Source organism: Homo sapiens, chromosome 16 (genome assembly GCF_000001405.40).
Source record: "Homo sapiens chromosome 16, GRCh38.p14 Primary Assembly".
NCBI classification, from domain to species: Eukaryota; Metazoa; Chordata; class Mammalia; order Primates; family Hominidae; genus Homo; species Homo sapiens.
This window is the reverse complement of record NC_000016.10, coordinates 58,377,760-58,391,709: the sequence shown is the minus strand read 5'-3', so window position 1 is coordinate 58,391,709 and position 13,950 is coordinate 58,377,760. Positions and strand designations below refer to the sequence as shown.

General features: G+C 42.0%; 2 pseudogenes; both read left to right on the top strand.

Annotated features, from left to right (window-relative positions):
- On the top strand, nt 7,168-7,268 carry RNU6-1110P (RNA, U6 small nuclear 1110, pseudogene; annotated as a pseudogene).
- RNU6-269P (RNA, U6 small nuclear 269, pseudogene) lies at nt 13,562-13,658 on the top strand (annotated as a pseudogene).

Sequence of the window (13,950 nt, the reverse complement as noted above, 5' to 3'; positions counted from 1 at the left end):
AGTACCAGGTTTGGTGGCTCTCCTCAGCCAGGGCTATGGGTGGCGGCATATTGTTGAGAGATGCACTACAGAACTTACTTCGTCTAGAGCATTTCTGGGGCTACTGGAGCCGGGAGTAAAGGGTGTGTGTGAAGGGAGGTGTGTATTAACCATGGATTTTAGTTTCTGTTTTCTGTATTTTATGATGCTTTGACATCTTGGGGCCTTGGGGACCTGGGGAGGAATTGCCCCTTTCAGAGTTAGCTAATTCCTAGAGATAGCAAACAACTTGCTTGTGAACACCCCTTTCATTTACAAACCAACCAACCCAAGCCTATATCCCCACACCATCTTTATCCATCTCACACACCAATATTTTCCCTGCCCCAAGTCACTGTAATAAACCACCCCATGGCCAAGTACCAGACAACTAAAATTCACCTCTATATCCCAGAGCTTGCCAACATTATTCAAATTATTCAATCCTAAGCTTGTTCAGACTTCCCTTCCCTGCTTCGCCCATTCCTTCCCACGGCAATAAAGGCTCTGGGCTTTCTCCTCGCTCTCTCTACCTCCTCATTGACCCTAATACTTTCTCGTGTGGCCGTAGGCACAGCCCCTTCTCTTGAGAACTATAATAAAATTTTCAAAGGCATTGGCCACTAACTCATTGATTGTCATCACCCAGTCACCTTTATAAATGAAATTCTGAGGACAATGAAAACAAGGTGCAGTGGGGTGGAAAGGAATGGCCAAACTGTGGAAAATCTTGGTACCATTCTAAGGAGTTAGGCCATTCCATAGAAAATGGGAGGAAAATGTAAGGCAAATAATAACATAAATCTGGGCTTCAGGAAGAGAATTCCAGCAGTAGATAAAGAAGAGAGAGATTAGATGCTTGGAAGCTGTTCAGTGGGCAGTATTTGGCAACCAATTGGATATAGGAAGTGAAGTATAGTGAGTAGTCAAAAGATTCAAGTTTTGAACGTGGCTGACCAGGTGGATGGACATGTCATGAATAGATACACAGAACACAGGAATAGGGGCAGCTGGAGGGAAGGGATGAGTTCAGTTTGGGACACATGGTGTCCAAGAGCTACTAGACAGGAAGGTCTGCAGCCCAGTGGAGAAAGCAGCCTAGAAGCTTTAGAGAGGAGGCACACTGAGAGGCAGTTATATGAAGGTTTTTTCCTTTTTCATATTTTAAATGTTCAGTTTGTGATACAGTCCAATGTAAAAATAAACACAATCTGCAGTGATAATTTAGAATTTCTCTGATGACATGGAATATATGGTACTGGATGTAGTTTGAGACAGAAATATAATTTGGCTAATTGAAGGCAATGTTATTTACTGCCAAGGAGAGTAAGCTATTTTTTATGCTGATATAATTAAGATAGATGCATACTGATTTATTGATGCCAAAGAAAGGCATTATTTTTGTACAGAGACCACAATACTGGCTCCAAACTCAAATACCACTATTATTTTAATAATACAGTAACAGGCCAATGTTTAACATAAAATCAGATTGCCTTGTTTGTCTTACTTAATGTCTTGGCTCATCATGAAACTATCATTGTGTATATATTGTTCTATTTAAACTGTCCTCTCCTTGAACTAATAAACAAGTGAATAAATCAGAAAAAGGTGAAATTAGTGAATGTTTGAGCTTATGATGCTGAACTGCATCAATTCATTTAACAAAAGTGGCATGTGGTTTTCAAGCATAGATATGTGTTAATAGCTTAAATCCTAAGAACCAGGAGTATTTCTGTTCCCTGAGAAAGCTGTGTTCCTTGGCACCCAGCCAACCAATCAATGTACCAGTATTATGCTGAACAGAATTGCATTATACTGATAATATTCACAGTATATTTGGTATATTTACAATATACAAAATTTAGTATTCTGAAAAGTGTCTGCTGGATTCTTGAAAACAGAGTATTTTTTTCATTGTAATCCTTTCAAGATTTCAGAATCATAGAACTACAGTGTTTTAGAACTTAGAACAAGTGTTTTGGTGAACAGGGCAGGGGCCTCTTTAGCTTTTATGACTTGCCCTCAAAAGTCATAGCCTCCAAAGAACACACAGGCTTTAGATGAGCAAAACCTCAAGCAGTTTTACGTCTGTTCTTTTGAATACCAGTGCTTTCTAAATTTCTTTCATTGAGTGGGGAGGTTGTGGTGCAAGTGACAGAAATGCAAATCTGGGGGTGGGGAGAAAAAGAAGAAATATGAAAAACTGTACACATGGTTCATTGAAAGAAAAAGAAAGAAAAAAGAAATGTATTGGGCGCCATCCTTCCAGTTGCTTGGTCAGGTCAAAATTTGGGGGTTTTCCTTGATCTCCTCCCCTAACCCTTACACTTTGTAATGGCCCATCAGCTAAATGGCCCATCAGCAAATGTTGACTTAACATTCATATTTCTAGAATCTGACCATTTCTCATCATTCTGGTTTAAGCCACCATCATCTCTTGCTTGGATTTTTGCATTAGCTCTCTAGTCTTCTTGCTTCTGCCCATGACCTCCCTATTGTTCCTTAAGCATCCCAGACACACTCGGTCCTCAGTGCTTTGCCTTGTTTGTTCCACTACCTGAATTGTGTTTCTCTTGGATTTCCACATGGCTTGTCCCTTTCAGGTCTTTACTTAAAAGTCACTGTCTCGATGAGGTCTTCCCTGGCCGCCCTATCTAAAATTTTAACTATTTAACAACAATTTTAATGACTCACACACTTGATATCCCCTGCTATGGTTTGACTGTATCCCCCAAAATTCATGCATTGGAAACTTAATCCCCAATACAATAATGTTGGGATGTGAGTCCTAATGGGAGGTGTTTAGATCATGAGGGCTCTACCCTCAAGAATGGATTAATGCCATTATAGAAAGGGATTGGAGGAGTGGGTTCTCTCTCTACACATGCCATGTGAGGACACAGAATTTGTCCCATTGGCCCTTCTGACTTCCACCATGTGAGGACAGCAAGAAGGCCCTCATCAGACGCTGGTGCCTTGATCTTGGACTTCCCAGCCTCCAGAATTATAAGAGAATAAATTTCTGTTCTTTAGAAATTACCCAGTCTCAGCTATTCTGTTACAGCAGCACAGAATGGACTAAGACACCCCGTTTTCCCTTCAGTACTGATCAGTCTCTAACTATATATTTTACTTATCTTGTTTATTTTACTTTATTATTTTTCTTTTGAGAAGGAGTTTCTCTCTTGTTGCCCAGGCTGGAGTGCAATGGCACAATCTCTGCTCACTGCAACCTCCACCTCCAGGGTTCAAGTGATTCTCCTGCCTCAGCTTCCCGAGTAGCTGGGATTACAGGCATCAGCCACCAAGCCCCGCTAACTTGTATTTTTAGTAGAGACGGGGTTTCACCATGTTGGCCAGGCTGGTCTCGAACTCCTGACCTCAAGTGATCTGCCCACCTCGGCCTCCCAAAGTGCTGGCATTACAGGTGTGAGCCACCTTGCCCGTCCTTTTATCTTGTTTATTGTCTGTCACCCCTACTAAAACATTAGCTCCATGAGGGTGGGGATATTTTTTAGTCTCTTTTTCACTGCTATATCCCCGCTGCCTAGTATGTATTAGGCACTTTGTAAATATTTATTGAGTGATTTAGTGTCTCTTTATTTAGAGCAGTGATATTAAATTTCCTTTAAAACATTAAGTAAAAGTTTTAAGTAAATAATAGTACAGATGATATGTAAATATTAGAGTGGTTACAAAATGTAGCAGTAAAACACTGAAAATACTAAGTTAAAGTGGCTAAAAAATAATTTGCCGGGCGCGGTGGCTCACGTCTGTAATTCCAGCACTTTGGGAGGCTGAGGCAGGTAGATCACAAGGTCAGGAGTTTGAGATCAGCCTGGCCAGCCTGGTGAAACCCCTCTCTACTAAAAATACAAAAAATTAGCTGAGCATGGTGGTGCGCACCTGTAGTCCCAGCTACTTGGGAGGCTGAGGCAGGAGAATTGCTTGAACCCGGCAGGCGGAGGTTGCAGTGAGCTGAGGTCACGTCACTGCACTCCAGCCTGGGCCATAGAGGGAGACTCTGTCTCAAAAAAAAAAAAAATTGTTTGCCAAGGTGCATGTTAATCACAGTATAATTCTGTAGATCCATGCACGAGCTTAAGTCATTAATATCATGGTGAAAGTTCATTGACTGGGCTCCAGTAATGCAGATTTTGAGTTTTGGTAGAACTGTACTGAATTTTACCTTTATATCAACTATAAAAAAGGAATGCTTAAGCAAATAAAATTTTAAATGGCTTAGTTCCCTACCTATGAAGCATTTCCAGCAGCCGTTTCTACTCAATTGCTGTGTTACTTCAGGAAGCCAACAGGCCTGAGTAGGGTCCAATTTTTACCACTTTAATTGGCTTTGTAACTTTGGGTCAGTTACCTCTCAGAAGCTTCTGTATCTGTAAAATGGAGATAATGATAGTAGCTCACAGAGTTGTGGTGCAGGTGGGACAAATAAGCTAATACACAGTTGGCCCTTGAACAATGAGAAGGTCAGGGCACTGACCCCTACACAGTTAAAAATCTACATATAACATTTTAAATTTAAAAAATTATTTTTAAAATTTTTATAGAGGTGGGATCTTGCTATGTTGCCCAGGCTGGTCTTGAACGCCTGGCCTCAAGCAATCCTCCTACCTCAGCCTCCCAAAGTGCTGGGATTATAGGTGTGAGTCACTGCACCTGGCTTACATATAGCTTTTGACTTCCCAAAAACTTAGCTACTACTAGCCTGCTGTTGACCAGAAGGCTTATTGATAACAGTTGATTAACAGATATTTTGCATGTTATATGTATTATATACAGAAGCCTTATTAAACAGTTGATTAACAGATTTTTTGCATGCTATATGTATTATATACCGTATTCTTACAATAAAGTAAGCCAAATAAAAGAAAATGTTAAGAAAACCATAAGGAAGAGAAAATACATTTACTATTCATTGAATGGAAGTGAGTCATGATAAAGGCCTTCATCCTTGTCGTCTTCTTGTTGTGTAGACTGAGAAGGAGGAAGAAGAGGAAGGATTGGTCTTGCTATCTCAGGGGTAGCCAAGGTGGAAGAAGTGGAGGACCTGCAAGGGGAGGCAGGAGAGTCAGACACACACGGTACAATTTTTTTTTTTTTGAAATGGAGTCTCGCTCTGTTGCCGAGGCTGGGGTGCAGTGGCACAATCTCGGCTCACTGCAAGCTCCACCTCCCCGGTTCACACCATTCTCCTGCCTCAGCCTCCGGAGTAGCTGGGACTACAGGCGCCTGCCACCACAGCTGGCTAATTTTTTGTATTTTTAGCACAGACAGGGTTTCACCGTAGTCTCGATCTCCTGACCTCGTGATCTGCCCACCTCGGCCTCCCAAAGTGCTGGGATTACAGGCATGAGCCACCGTGTCCGGCCTAACCTTTGTATTTTTAGTAGAGATGGGGTTTTACCATATTGGTAAGGCTGGTCTCGAACTCCTGACCTCATGATCTGCCCGCCTTGGCCTCCCAAAGTGCTGGGATTACAGGCGTGAGCCACCATGCCTGGCCCATGGTATAACTTTTATTGAAAAAAGCTTCACGTATAAGTGGGGACTCATGCAGTTCAAATCAACCAGTGTTATTCAAGGGTCAACTGTATACACAGCACTGAGCTCAGGGCCTAGCCCACAATAAGAGCTCAATCAATGTCCTTCTTATCATCATTTATTCATATGTTTGTTTAGTGCTGCATCCTCAGCACCTCAGAGAATACCTGGCACATAGCAAGCACTCAAGGAACATTTGTTAAATAGCTGTCATTATTGATGGGCATCCTTGGTCTAGGCTTGGCTACACTTGTCTCCCCTTCAGTTCCAGTTACCAAATATACTTGAAGGTGATAAAGTATTGTTCTCCAACTTTTTCCTGCGAAAAATCAGGTAGAATTTATCTCCTATGAGATCAAATTATTACAGTTTTTTGTGAGTTTTGAAATTACAGTACCACGTTTGAAATCTTACTATGTAAGATTAATAGATCTAAATCATTGGAGTTCATTTTTACATAATTTAAATGTCCTTTTAGTTGAGCTATTTCTTGAGCACTGCTCCAAAACGCCTTCCATGAGATCAAAATAAATTGATGGGCATGATGCGACCTTGTGTGTGGGTAGCACCAATTTTAGATTCTTCCCACAGTCTTCAGCAGCACTAACAGGAATTGTTAACCCATCTTATATATTGAGAGATATTGCATGTGTGTGTATGTGCGTGTGTGTGTGTGTGTGTGTGTGTGTGTGTCCCTCTTAACTTGCAAAGAAGTAGCGATTGCATCATTATAAGAGAGGTACCTGTTAATTCAACTTCATCAGGCAGGGCTAGTTTCTCTGAGGCCTCTCTCCTTGCATGCAGATGGCTGTCGTCTCGCTGCATGCTCACATGGCTGTTCCTCTGTGTGCATGCATCCTTGGAGTCTTCTCTTCTTCTAAAACACTAGTCATATTGGATTGGAGCTCTACCCTTAGGATCTCATTTAACCTTAATTACCATTTTAAAGGACTCCGTATCCAAATTTAGTCACATTAAAGGTTAGGGCTTCAAACTATAAGTATTGAGGGGACACAAAACACAGTCCATAACCATCTGGTCTCTATCTTCATGTTCTGAAACTTTTTTAAAGTTTATTTTTGAAATTTTAATTGGCAAATAATAATGATATATATACATACATATACATATATATGTATAGTGCAATGTGATAACTTGATACATGTGATATTTCTTCATCGTTGCCTTGAGACATAGTTTCCCAAGAGCAAAGGTTGGCTAGAGGGGTCTGACTGAACACAAGCACACACACTACCTCCCTACTTCCTGCCTCAAATCTCCTTACACAATACATTCTGTCTCTCAGTATGTACATATGAAACCCACAAAAACAGGAACACAATAAAGAGGGCCACCAGAAGACCAGAAGGATACAGGAATTGCTGGAGGATAGAAAGCAGACGGATCCGATTGACAGCAAACCTGGGGCAAAGACGATCACAGCTTAACCAAAGGCAGGCAAATGACTACCAAGGAAGTGAGAGCAGGTTAGGGATATTCCCAGCTTAGTCAACAGATACCTGCAGCAGGAGCAGGTGCTGGCACAAGATATGAAAGAGCTGTATTCACAAGAGCCAGGTCAGGACTTGCTTCCACAGTACAAACTAAAGTGGGAAGGATACTGCGATGATTAGCACAGCCCCTGTACTAGAATGACATGAATCTGTGAGGCATTTTGCATTTTTCATAGCACCACCCCACAAATCCCACGCAAATCACAAAGATCCCAAAGGTGAAAATGTACATTTTTACAGTGGAGAGATCTGGGGTCACCACTCTATGCAAGCAAAGAAACCTAACCTGTTAATAACAGGACAACCTGACATGATGTACCTATAGATATCATGCAGTATGTACACTGAATCACCTATGAAGTATTTGTACCTAAATATTTAACCTGAATCCAATTAAGCATCAAAACCTAATTTTACATGGAATATGAAGGTAAGGGAGGGGGATTTGAGAAGAAGTTCAATGTCATCAAGAGGAAACAAGCAGACAAAATCAGAATGTAGAGTATTTTACAAGGGCAATGCTAGTAAAATATTATCTCAGGGAATCCATAACTGTTACAACCCTTGTTAATGACCTCAGAAAGATTTAGGATGGTGCTCTCTTAGTTACACAAAGGGCTAAGAATCTAAAGGGCATGACTCCTAGCACCTCTCAGCTAGACAGCAATGCTTCGAGGACTCCTGAGGGTGTAGTTGTACAGCAGCTTCACAGGGAGCCCAAGAAGGGCAGATCTCAAAGAGCCCGGTCTGATGTCACAATGGGATAAGACCTCGGCAGAGTCTTGGAAAGGGGTGCACGTTTTGCATGTGAGAGAAAGGCAAATTATCTGTGGCCAGAGGGCAGACCATGGCAGTTTTAAAAACAGGCCGGATATGGTGGCTCATGCCTAATAATCCTAGCACTTTGTGAGGCAGAGGTGGGAGGATCGCTTGAGCCCTGGAGTTCGAGACCAGCCTGGGCAACATGGTGAGATCCTGTCTCTACAAAACATCCAAAAATTAGCCAGGTATGGTGGTGTGTGTGCCTGTAGTCCCAGCTACTTGGGAGGCTGAGGTGGGAGGATCGCCTGACCCCAGAATGTTGAGGCTGCAGTGAGCTGTGATTGTGCCACTGTGTTCCAGCCTGGGTGACAGAAAAACCACAAAAAAAACCCAAAAATCAAAAACATAGCTGCAAATTCTCTGAATCTGGGTGGGCTTTGTCACAGAGCATAATGGGAGCGACAACAGAGCCTGATGGAAGTGACGCTGTGTGACTCCTGATACTGGGTCATAAAGGTAATGCAGCTCCTGTCCTGTTCCCCAAAACACTCCTCCTCAGAGCCAGGAGTCAGGATGTAAGGAAACTGACCACTCTGAGGCCATGCTAGCCAGGGAGGCTACATAGACATGCTCTGGTGGGCAGTCCCAGCTAATCACAGCCTTCCTGCCATCCCAACCAAGGTCTCAGACATGAGTGTACAGAAGCCATCTTGGAGCCTCCAGACCAGTCCAAATGACAAGTAGATACCACCAAGTGACCCTGTCAATGTCATGTGAAAAAGAAGAATTGCTTAACTGGGCTCTGCCTGAATTCACGATCGACAAAATTGTAAAATATAATAAAATAATCGTTTTAGGCCAATAAAGTTTTGGGGTGTTTTTTTTCTTAAATCTTTATATAGACTTCTAGAACAGAATTTGGCTCTCCAAACAGTCAATGTCATGGGTGGGGGATGGGGAAAATGGCGGGGGGGGGGGGGGTGTCTGTTTAAAGTGCTGTAACAATCAAATGCAAGGATTTGGCCTTGATTGGCTTCTGGTTCAAAAAAGTAGATTACAGGTACTTTGGGGACAACTGAGGAGACTTGCACACAGACCATTACATAGTATTTTTAGGAAATTACTGTGAATTATGTATTAGCCTGTTTTTGCACTGCTATAAATAACTTCCCTGAGACTGGATAATTTATGAAGTAAAGAGGTTTAATTGACTCACAGTTCTGCGTGGCTGGGGAGGCCTCAGGAAACTTACAATCATGACAGAGGGGGAAGCAGCCACCTTCTTCACAAGGCAGCAAGAGGGAGAAGAGAGAAGGAAAAAACTGTCACTTTTCACACCATCAAATCTTGTGAGAACTCACTCACTATCATGAGAGCAGCATGGGGGAAAACTGCCCCCATGATCCAATCACCTCCCTTCCTTGACCCATAGGGATTACAATTCAAGATGAGATTTGGGTGGGGACATAGAGCCAAACCATATCAATTGTGTTAGATATGATCATGGTTTTACGGTCACGTAGAAAAATGTCTATTTGTAGGAGATACTGGTGTATAGGTCAAGTGTCATTATGATTGCAACTTACTTTACAATGGATCAGCAAAACAATTATACACACACACACATACACGAAGCAAATATAGCAAAAAGCTAACAACTGTTTGAATCTAGGTACTAAGTATACACATGTTCACTATGCCAGCCTTTCAACTTTTCTGTGGGTGAAGATTTTCATAATAAAAAGCTGAGAAAAAAAGATCAGAGAAAATCAACTCATAAAAATGTTTCCCACTTCAGTAGTCATGAAGACAATGTAAATTAAAACCCAAATTCAATACCACCCACCAGAATGGCTAAAATGAAAAGGACAGAAAAGCGTTGGCAAGGCTGTGAATCAAGTGGAACCTCCTCACAGAAGTGTAAAATGGTCCAACCACTGTGGAAAACTGTTGGCTGTGGCTACTAAAGCCAACATATGTAAACATATTGCATCATTATTATAGAGGTACTTGTTCATCCAAGTTTTGCTTTTCTGTGTTTTCAATCCTACAAAATTACCCTTTCCTACCATTCCTATATTTTCAGATTTTTCTGATAACTTGATAAGTAATTTATTTGCTGGTCTGATAGTGGGTTTCTCTCAGTCCAAATGAATTGTGTGGTGAGCAGATTCATTAGTTTGAGGAGAAAATGGGGGAAACAGCATTTATTTACTCATCAAGATGTTTAGGTGCCTATTAGATGCATTGGGGCTGCAAACCTGTACATATAGATGAGTATGATATGTCCTGGACTGTTAGGGAGGTCAGTCAGCACCCAGGGGAGAACATGGTAACATGAGGTGATAAAAGCAGCAATAGGCGGGTGTAGTGGCTCATGCCTGTAATCCCAGAACTTTGGGAGGCTGAGGCAGAAGGATCACTTGAGCCCAGGAGTTTGGGACCAACCTGGGCAACATAGCAAGATCCCATCTATAAAAATAACTTTTAAAAAAAATTATCTGAGTGTGGTGATGCATGCCTGTAGTAGCAGCTGCTCAGGAGGTTGAGGTGGGAGGACTACTTGAACCCAGAAGGTTGAGGCTGCAATGAGCTGTGAACATGCCACACCACTGCACTTCAGCTTGGGCAACAGAGCAAGACTTAAAAAAAAAGCAACGATAGAGCCATGTCCAAAATGTATGGAGGTTCAGAAGGCATGGTGAATTCTCAGCTGGATATAAGAGGGGATTACAATGTTTTAGAGGAAGGATCATCAGAATAGGGCCTTAGAGTATGAGTAGGACTTTCCAGGCCCAAGGATCAACATCAAGCAAAGATGTGGGATTGTGCAAGTTCAGGACAAAGCATCTCTCCTTTCAAACCAGTCCTTCTTTTTGCTTTGCATTTCCTGGTTAATGGCTCCACCATCTACCCAATGACCTGTATCTTTATGAGACTGATGCGCTGCCTACTGTGCTAAAGCAGTAACTAACCTGTATCTTTATATGGCAAGTAACATAAAAATCCAATTTGAACTGGCTTAAAGAAGAAGGGGGTTTCTAGGCTTTATAACAGGAGAGTCAAGGACTTCATGGTTGGTTGATCCAATAGCCCGAGGATACCACTGGGGGTCTATCCTTGCTTTGGTCTGCTTAAGGTCAGCTCCAGTCTATGGCTCATTTTCCTGGGGTCTTGGGTCACAAGATGGTTGCCAATTAAGTCAGGTCTATCCACCTCCCTGTTCTTGTCAAGTGGGAAAGGGCACTTCAGTCCCAGTATTCCAATAAACAGTTCTGGCATTCACTGATTGGCAGATTTAGATCACATTTTTACTCCTGAACCAAAAACTACAGTGACAGCCATGGAATGTGCTAATTAGTGTAAGTCAGTCCAGGCCCACCTCTAAAGCAAAGGCAGAGTTCAGTTTCTCCAAAGCACATGGGCTGTACGACAAGAGAGGTTGGGAGATTGTGTTGAGTGACAATCTGGAAACTTTTAGGAAGAAGGAAGCTGGGTAGAAAACAAATAAATGTTCATTGCAGTTACTACCTGCAATGAACAAATAAATGTTCATTTCAATTACTAGCTGCAATTCAGGAGCCTGGGAAGAATTTGGTATTTCTTACTCTCTTACCTCCCCACATCCAACCAGTCAACAAATTCTGCTGATTCTACCTCCTTGTTATTATATTATCTGCCCCAACTGCCTTTGTTCAACCGCCATCATTTCTCACCCATATGCTTAAAATGCCTTCTAATTGGTGTCCCTGCCTCTACTGTCTCCTCGCTCTGGAGTTCCTTTGGACAACTCTGAGAATGATCTTCCTACTTCCAAGTTCTGATCCTGTTACTCCCCTGCTTATGACCCAAATGGCTTCCCACTGGTTACAGAATAAATTCTGAATTCCTGGATAAGTCACTTCCTGGGGGTCACGTCTTTCATGTTATGTGTATTAGTCTGCTGGAGTCATAACAACGTATCACAGACTGAGTGGCTTAATAACAGAAATTAGTTTTCCCACAGTTCTGGAGGCTGGAAGTCCAATATCAAGGTGTCCACAGGGTTTGTTTCTGGTGAGGCCTCCCACGTTGGCTTGCAGATGGCCACCTTCTTGCTCTGTCCTCACATAGGCTTTCCTCTGTGCATACTCATCCATGGAGTCTCTTTCTCTTCTTTTAAGACACCAGTCACGTTGGGTTAGGGCTCCACCCTTATGATGTCATTTAACCTTAATTACCTTTTTAAGGATGCTATCTCCAAATATAGTCATTGGGAATTAGGGCTTCAAACTATGAATTTAGGGAGAGCATAATATAATCCATAACAACCTGGTTTCTATCTTCATCCTCTGATATTTATCTTTTATTTAATTTAAATTAAAAATTTTTTTTTTGAGATGAAGTCTCACTCCATCACCAAGGCTGGAGTGCAGTGGTGCACTCTGCTCACTGCAACTTCCACCACCTGGGTTCAAGCGATTCTCCTGCCTCAGGCTCCCAAGTAGCTGGGACTACAGGCGCATGTCACCACACCCAGCTAATTTTTTTTTTGTATTTTTAGTAGAGACAGGTTTCACCATGTTGGCCAGGCTGGTCTTGAACTCCTGACCTCAAATGATCCACCTGTCTCAGCCTCCCAAAGTGCTGGGATTACAGGCATGAGCCACCATACCTGGCCCTTTTAAAAATTTTTAATTGACAATAATGGTATATATTTATGGGATACAACGTAATGATTTGATACATGTGACACTTCCTCATTTCTGCCCTGGGATATAGTTTCTCAAAAGCAAAGGTTGGCCAGAGATGTCTGACTGAACACAAGCACATACACTACCTCCCTACTTCCTGCCTCAAGTCTCCTTACACAACACATTCTGTCTCTCTGTGAGTATTTCCTATGTACACATGAAACCCACAAAAACACATGAACAAAATAAAGAGGGCCACCAGAAGACCAGAAGGATACAGGAATTTCTGGAGGATAGAGAGCAGGTGAGATCTGATTGACAGCAAATCTGGAGCAAAGACGAACATGGCTTAACCAAAGGTAGGCAAAATGACCACCAAGGAGTGAGGGAAGTTCAGGGATATTTTAAGCCTAAGTCAACAGACATCTGGAGCAGGAGCAGGTGCTGGCACAAGAGATAGAAGAGCTGTATTTGAAGCTGTCCTCACAGGGTTAACAAGAGTTCTGGACAGAAATATAGTTATAATTAAGCATTAGTCAGGCTGCAATTTGACTCATTTCCTTGTAGCCAGAATTCATGGAGCACTAGATGTTGACCATTTGTATCCCCATTGTTTCTACAGATGAAATTTCTGATGTTAGAATCATAAGGGTTTTGTTTAAGAATGACTTAAACAGATCCTTAATTCTAGTGGAGTAGCTGATGCCAACCACTTCAAAGATCCCACAGAAGAACCAAATCAATGTACAGATACAGTTTCTTTATCTCCCTGCCCCATGACATCACCCTGGACTCGCTGACCAATCGACCATCTCCACACTTTGGCCCATTCCAAAACCCTTAACATCCCTAGCCCCAAACTCCTCATGGAGACAGATTTGAGATTTTCTCCTATCTTTATTATTTGGTGGCCCTATGATTAAACCTCTTTCTCTGCTGCAACTCAATGTCTTAGCATACTGACTTGCCACATGCATCAGGCAAAGAACCGATTACAGTTACAAATTCTCGAGAGCCAGGGCAGGACATGCTTCCATAGCACAGACTAAAATTGGAAGGATGCCAAGATGATTAGCATGGTCCCTGCACAAGGATGACATGAATTTTTGAAACATTTCGTATTTTTCCTGGCATCACCCCACAAATTCCATGAAAGTCACAAGGAAGAAAATGTACATTTTTACAATGGAGAGGCCTGGGGGTCACCACCATATGCAAGTGATGGAACCTAACGTATTAATAGTAGGACAACCTGCCATGATATACCTATAGATATCATGCAGTATAATGTATTCAAAATCACCTACAAAGTATTCTTGCCAAAATATTCAACCTTAATCAAATCAAGCCTCTAGACCCAATTTTGCAGGAAATATGGAGGTGAGGGAAGGGGATTTGAAAAAAGTTAAATGACACCA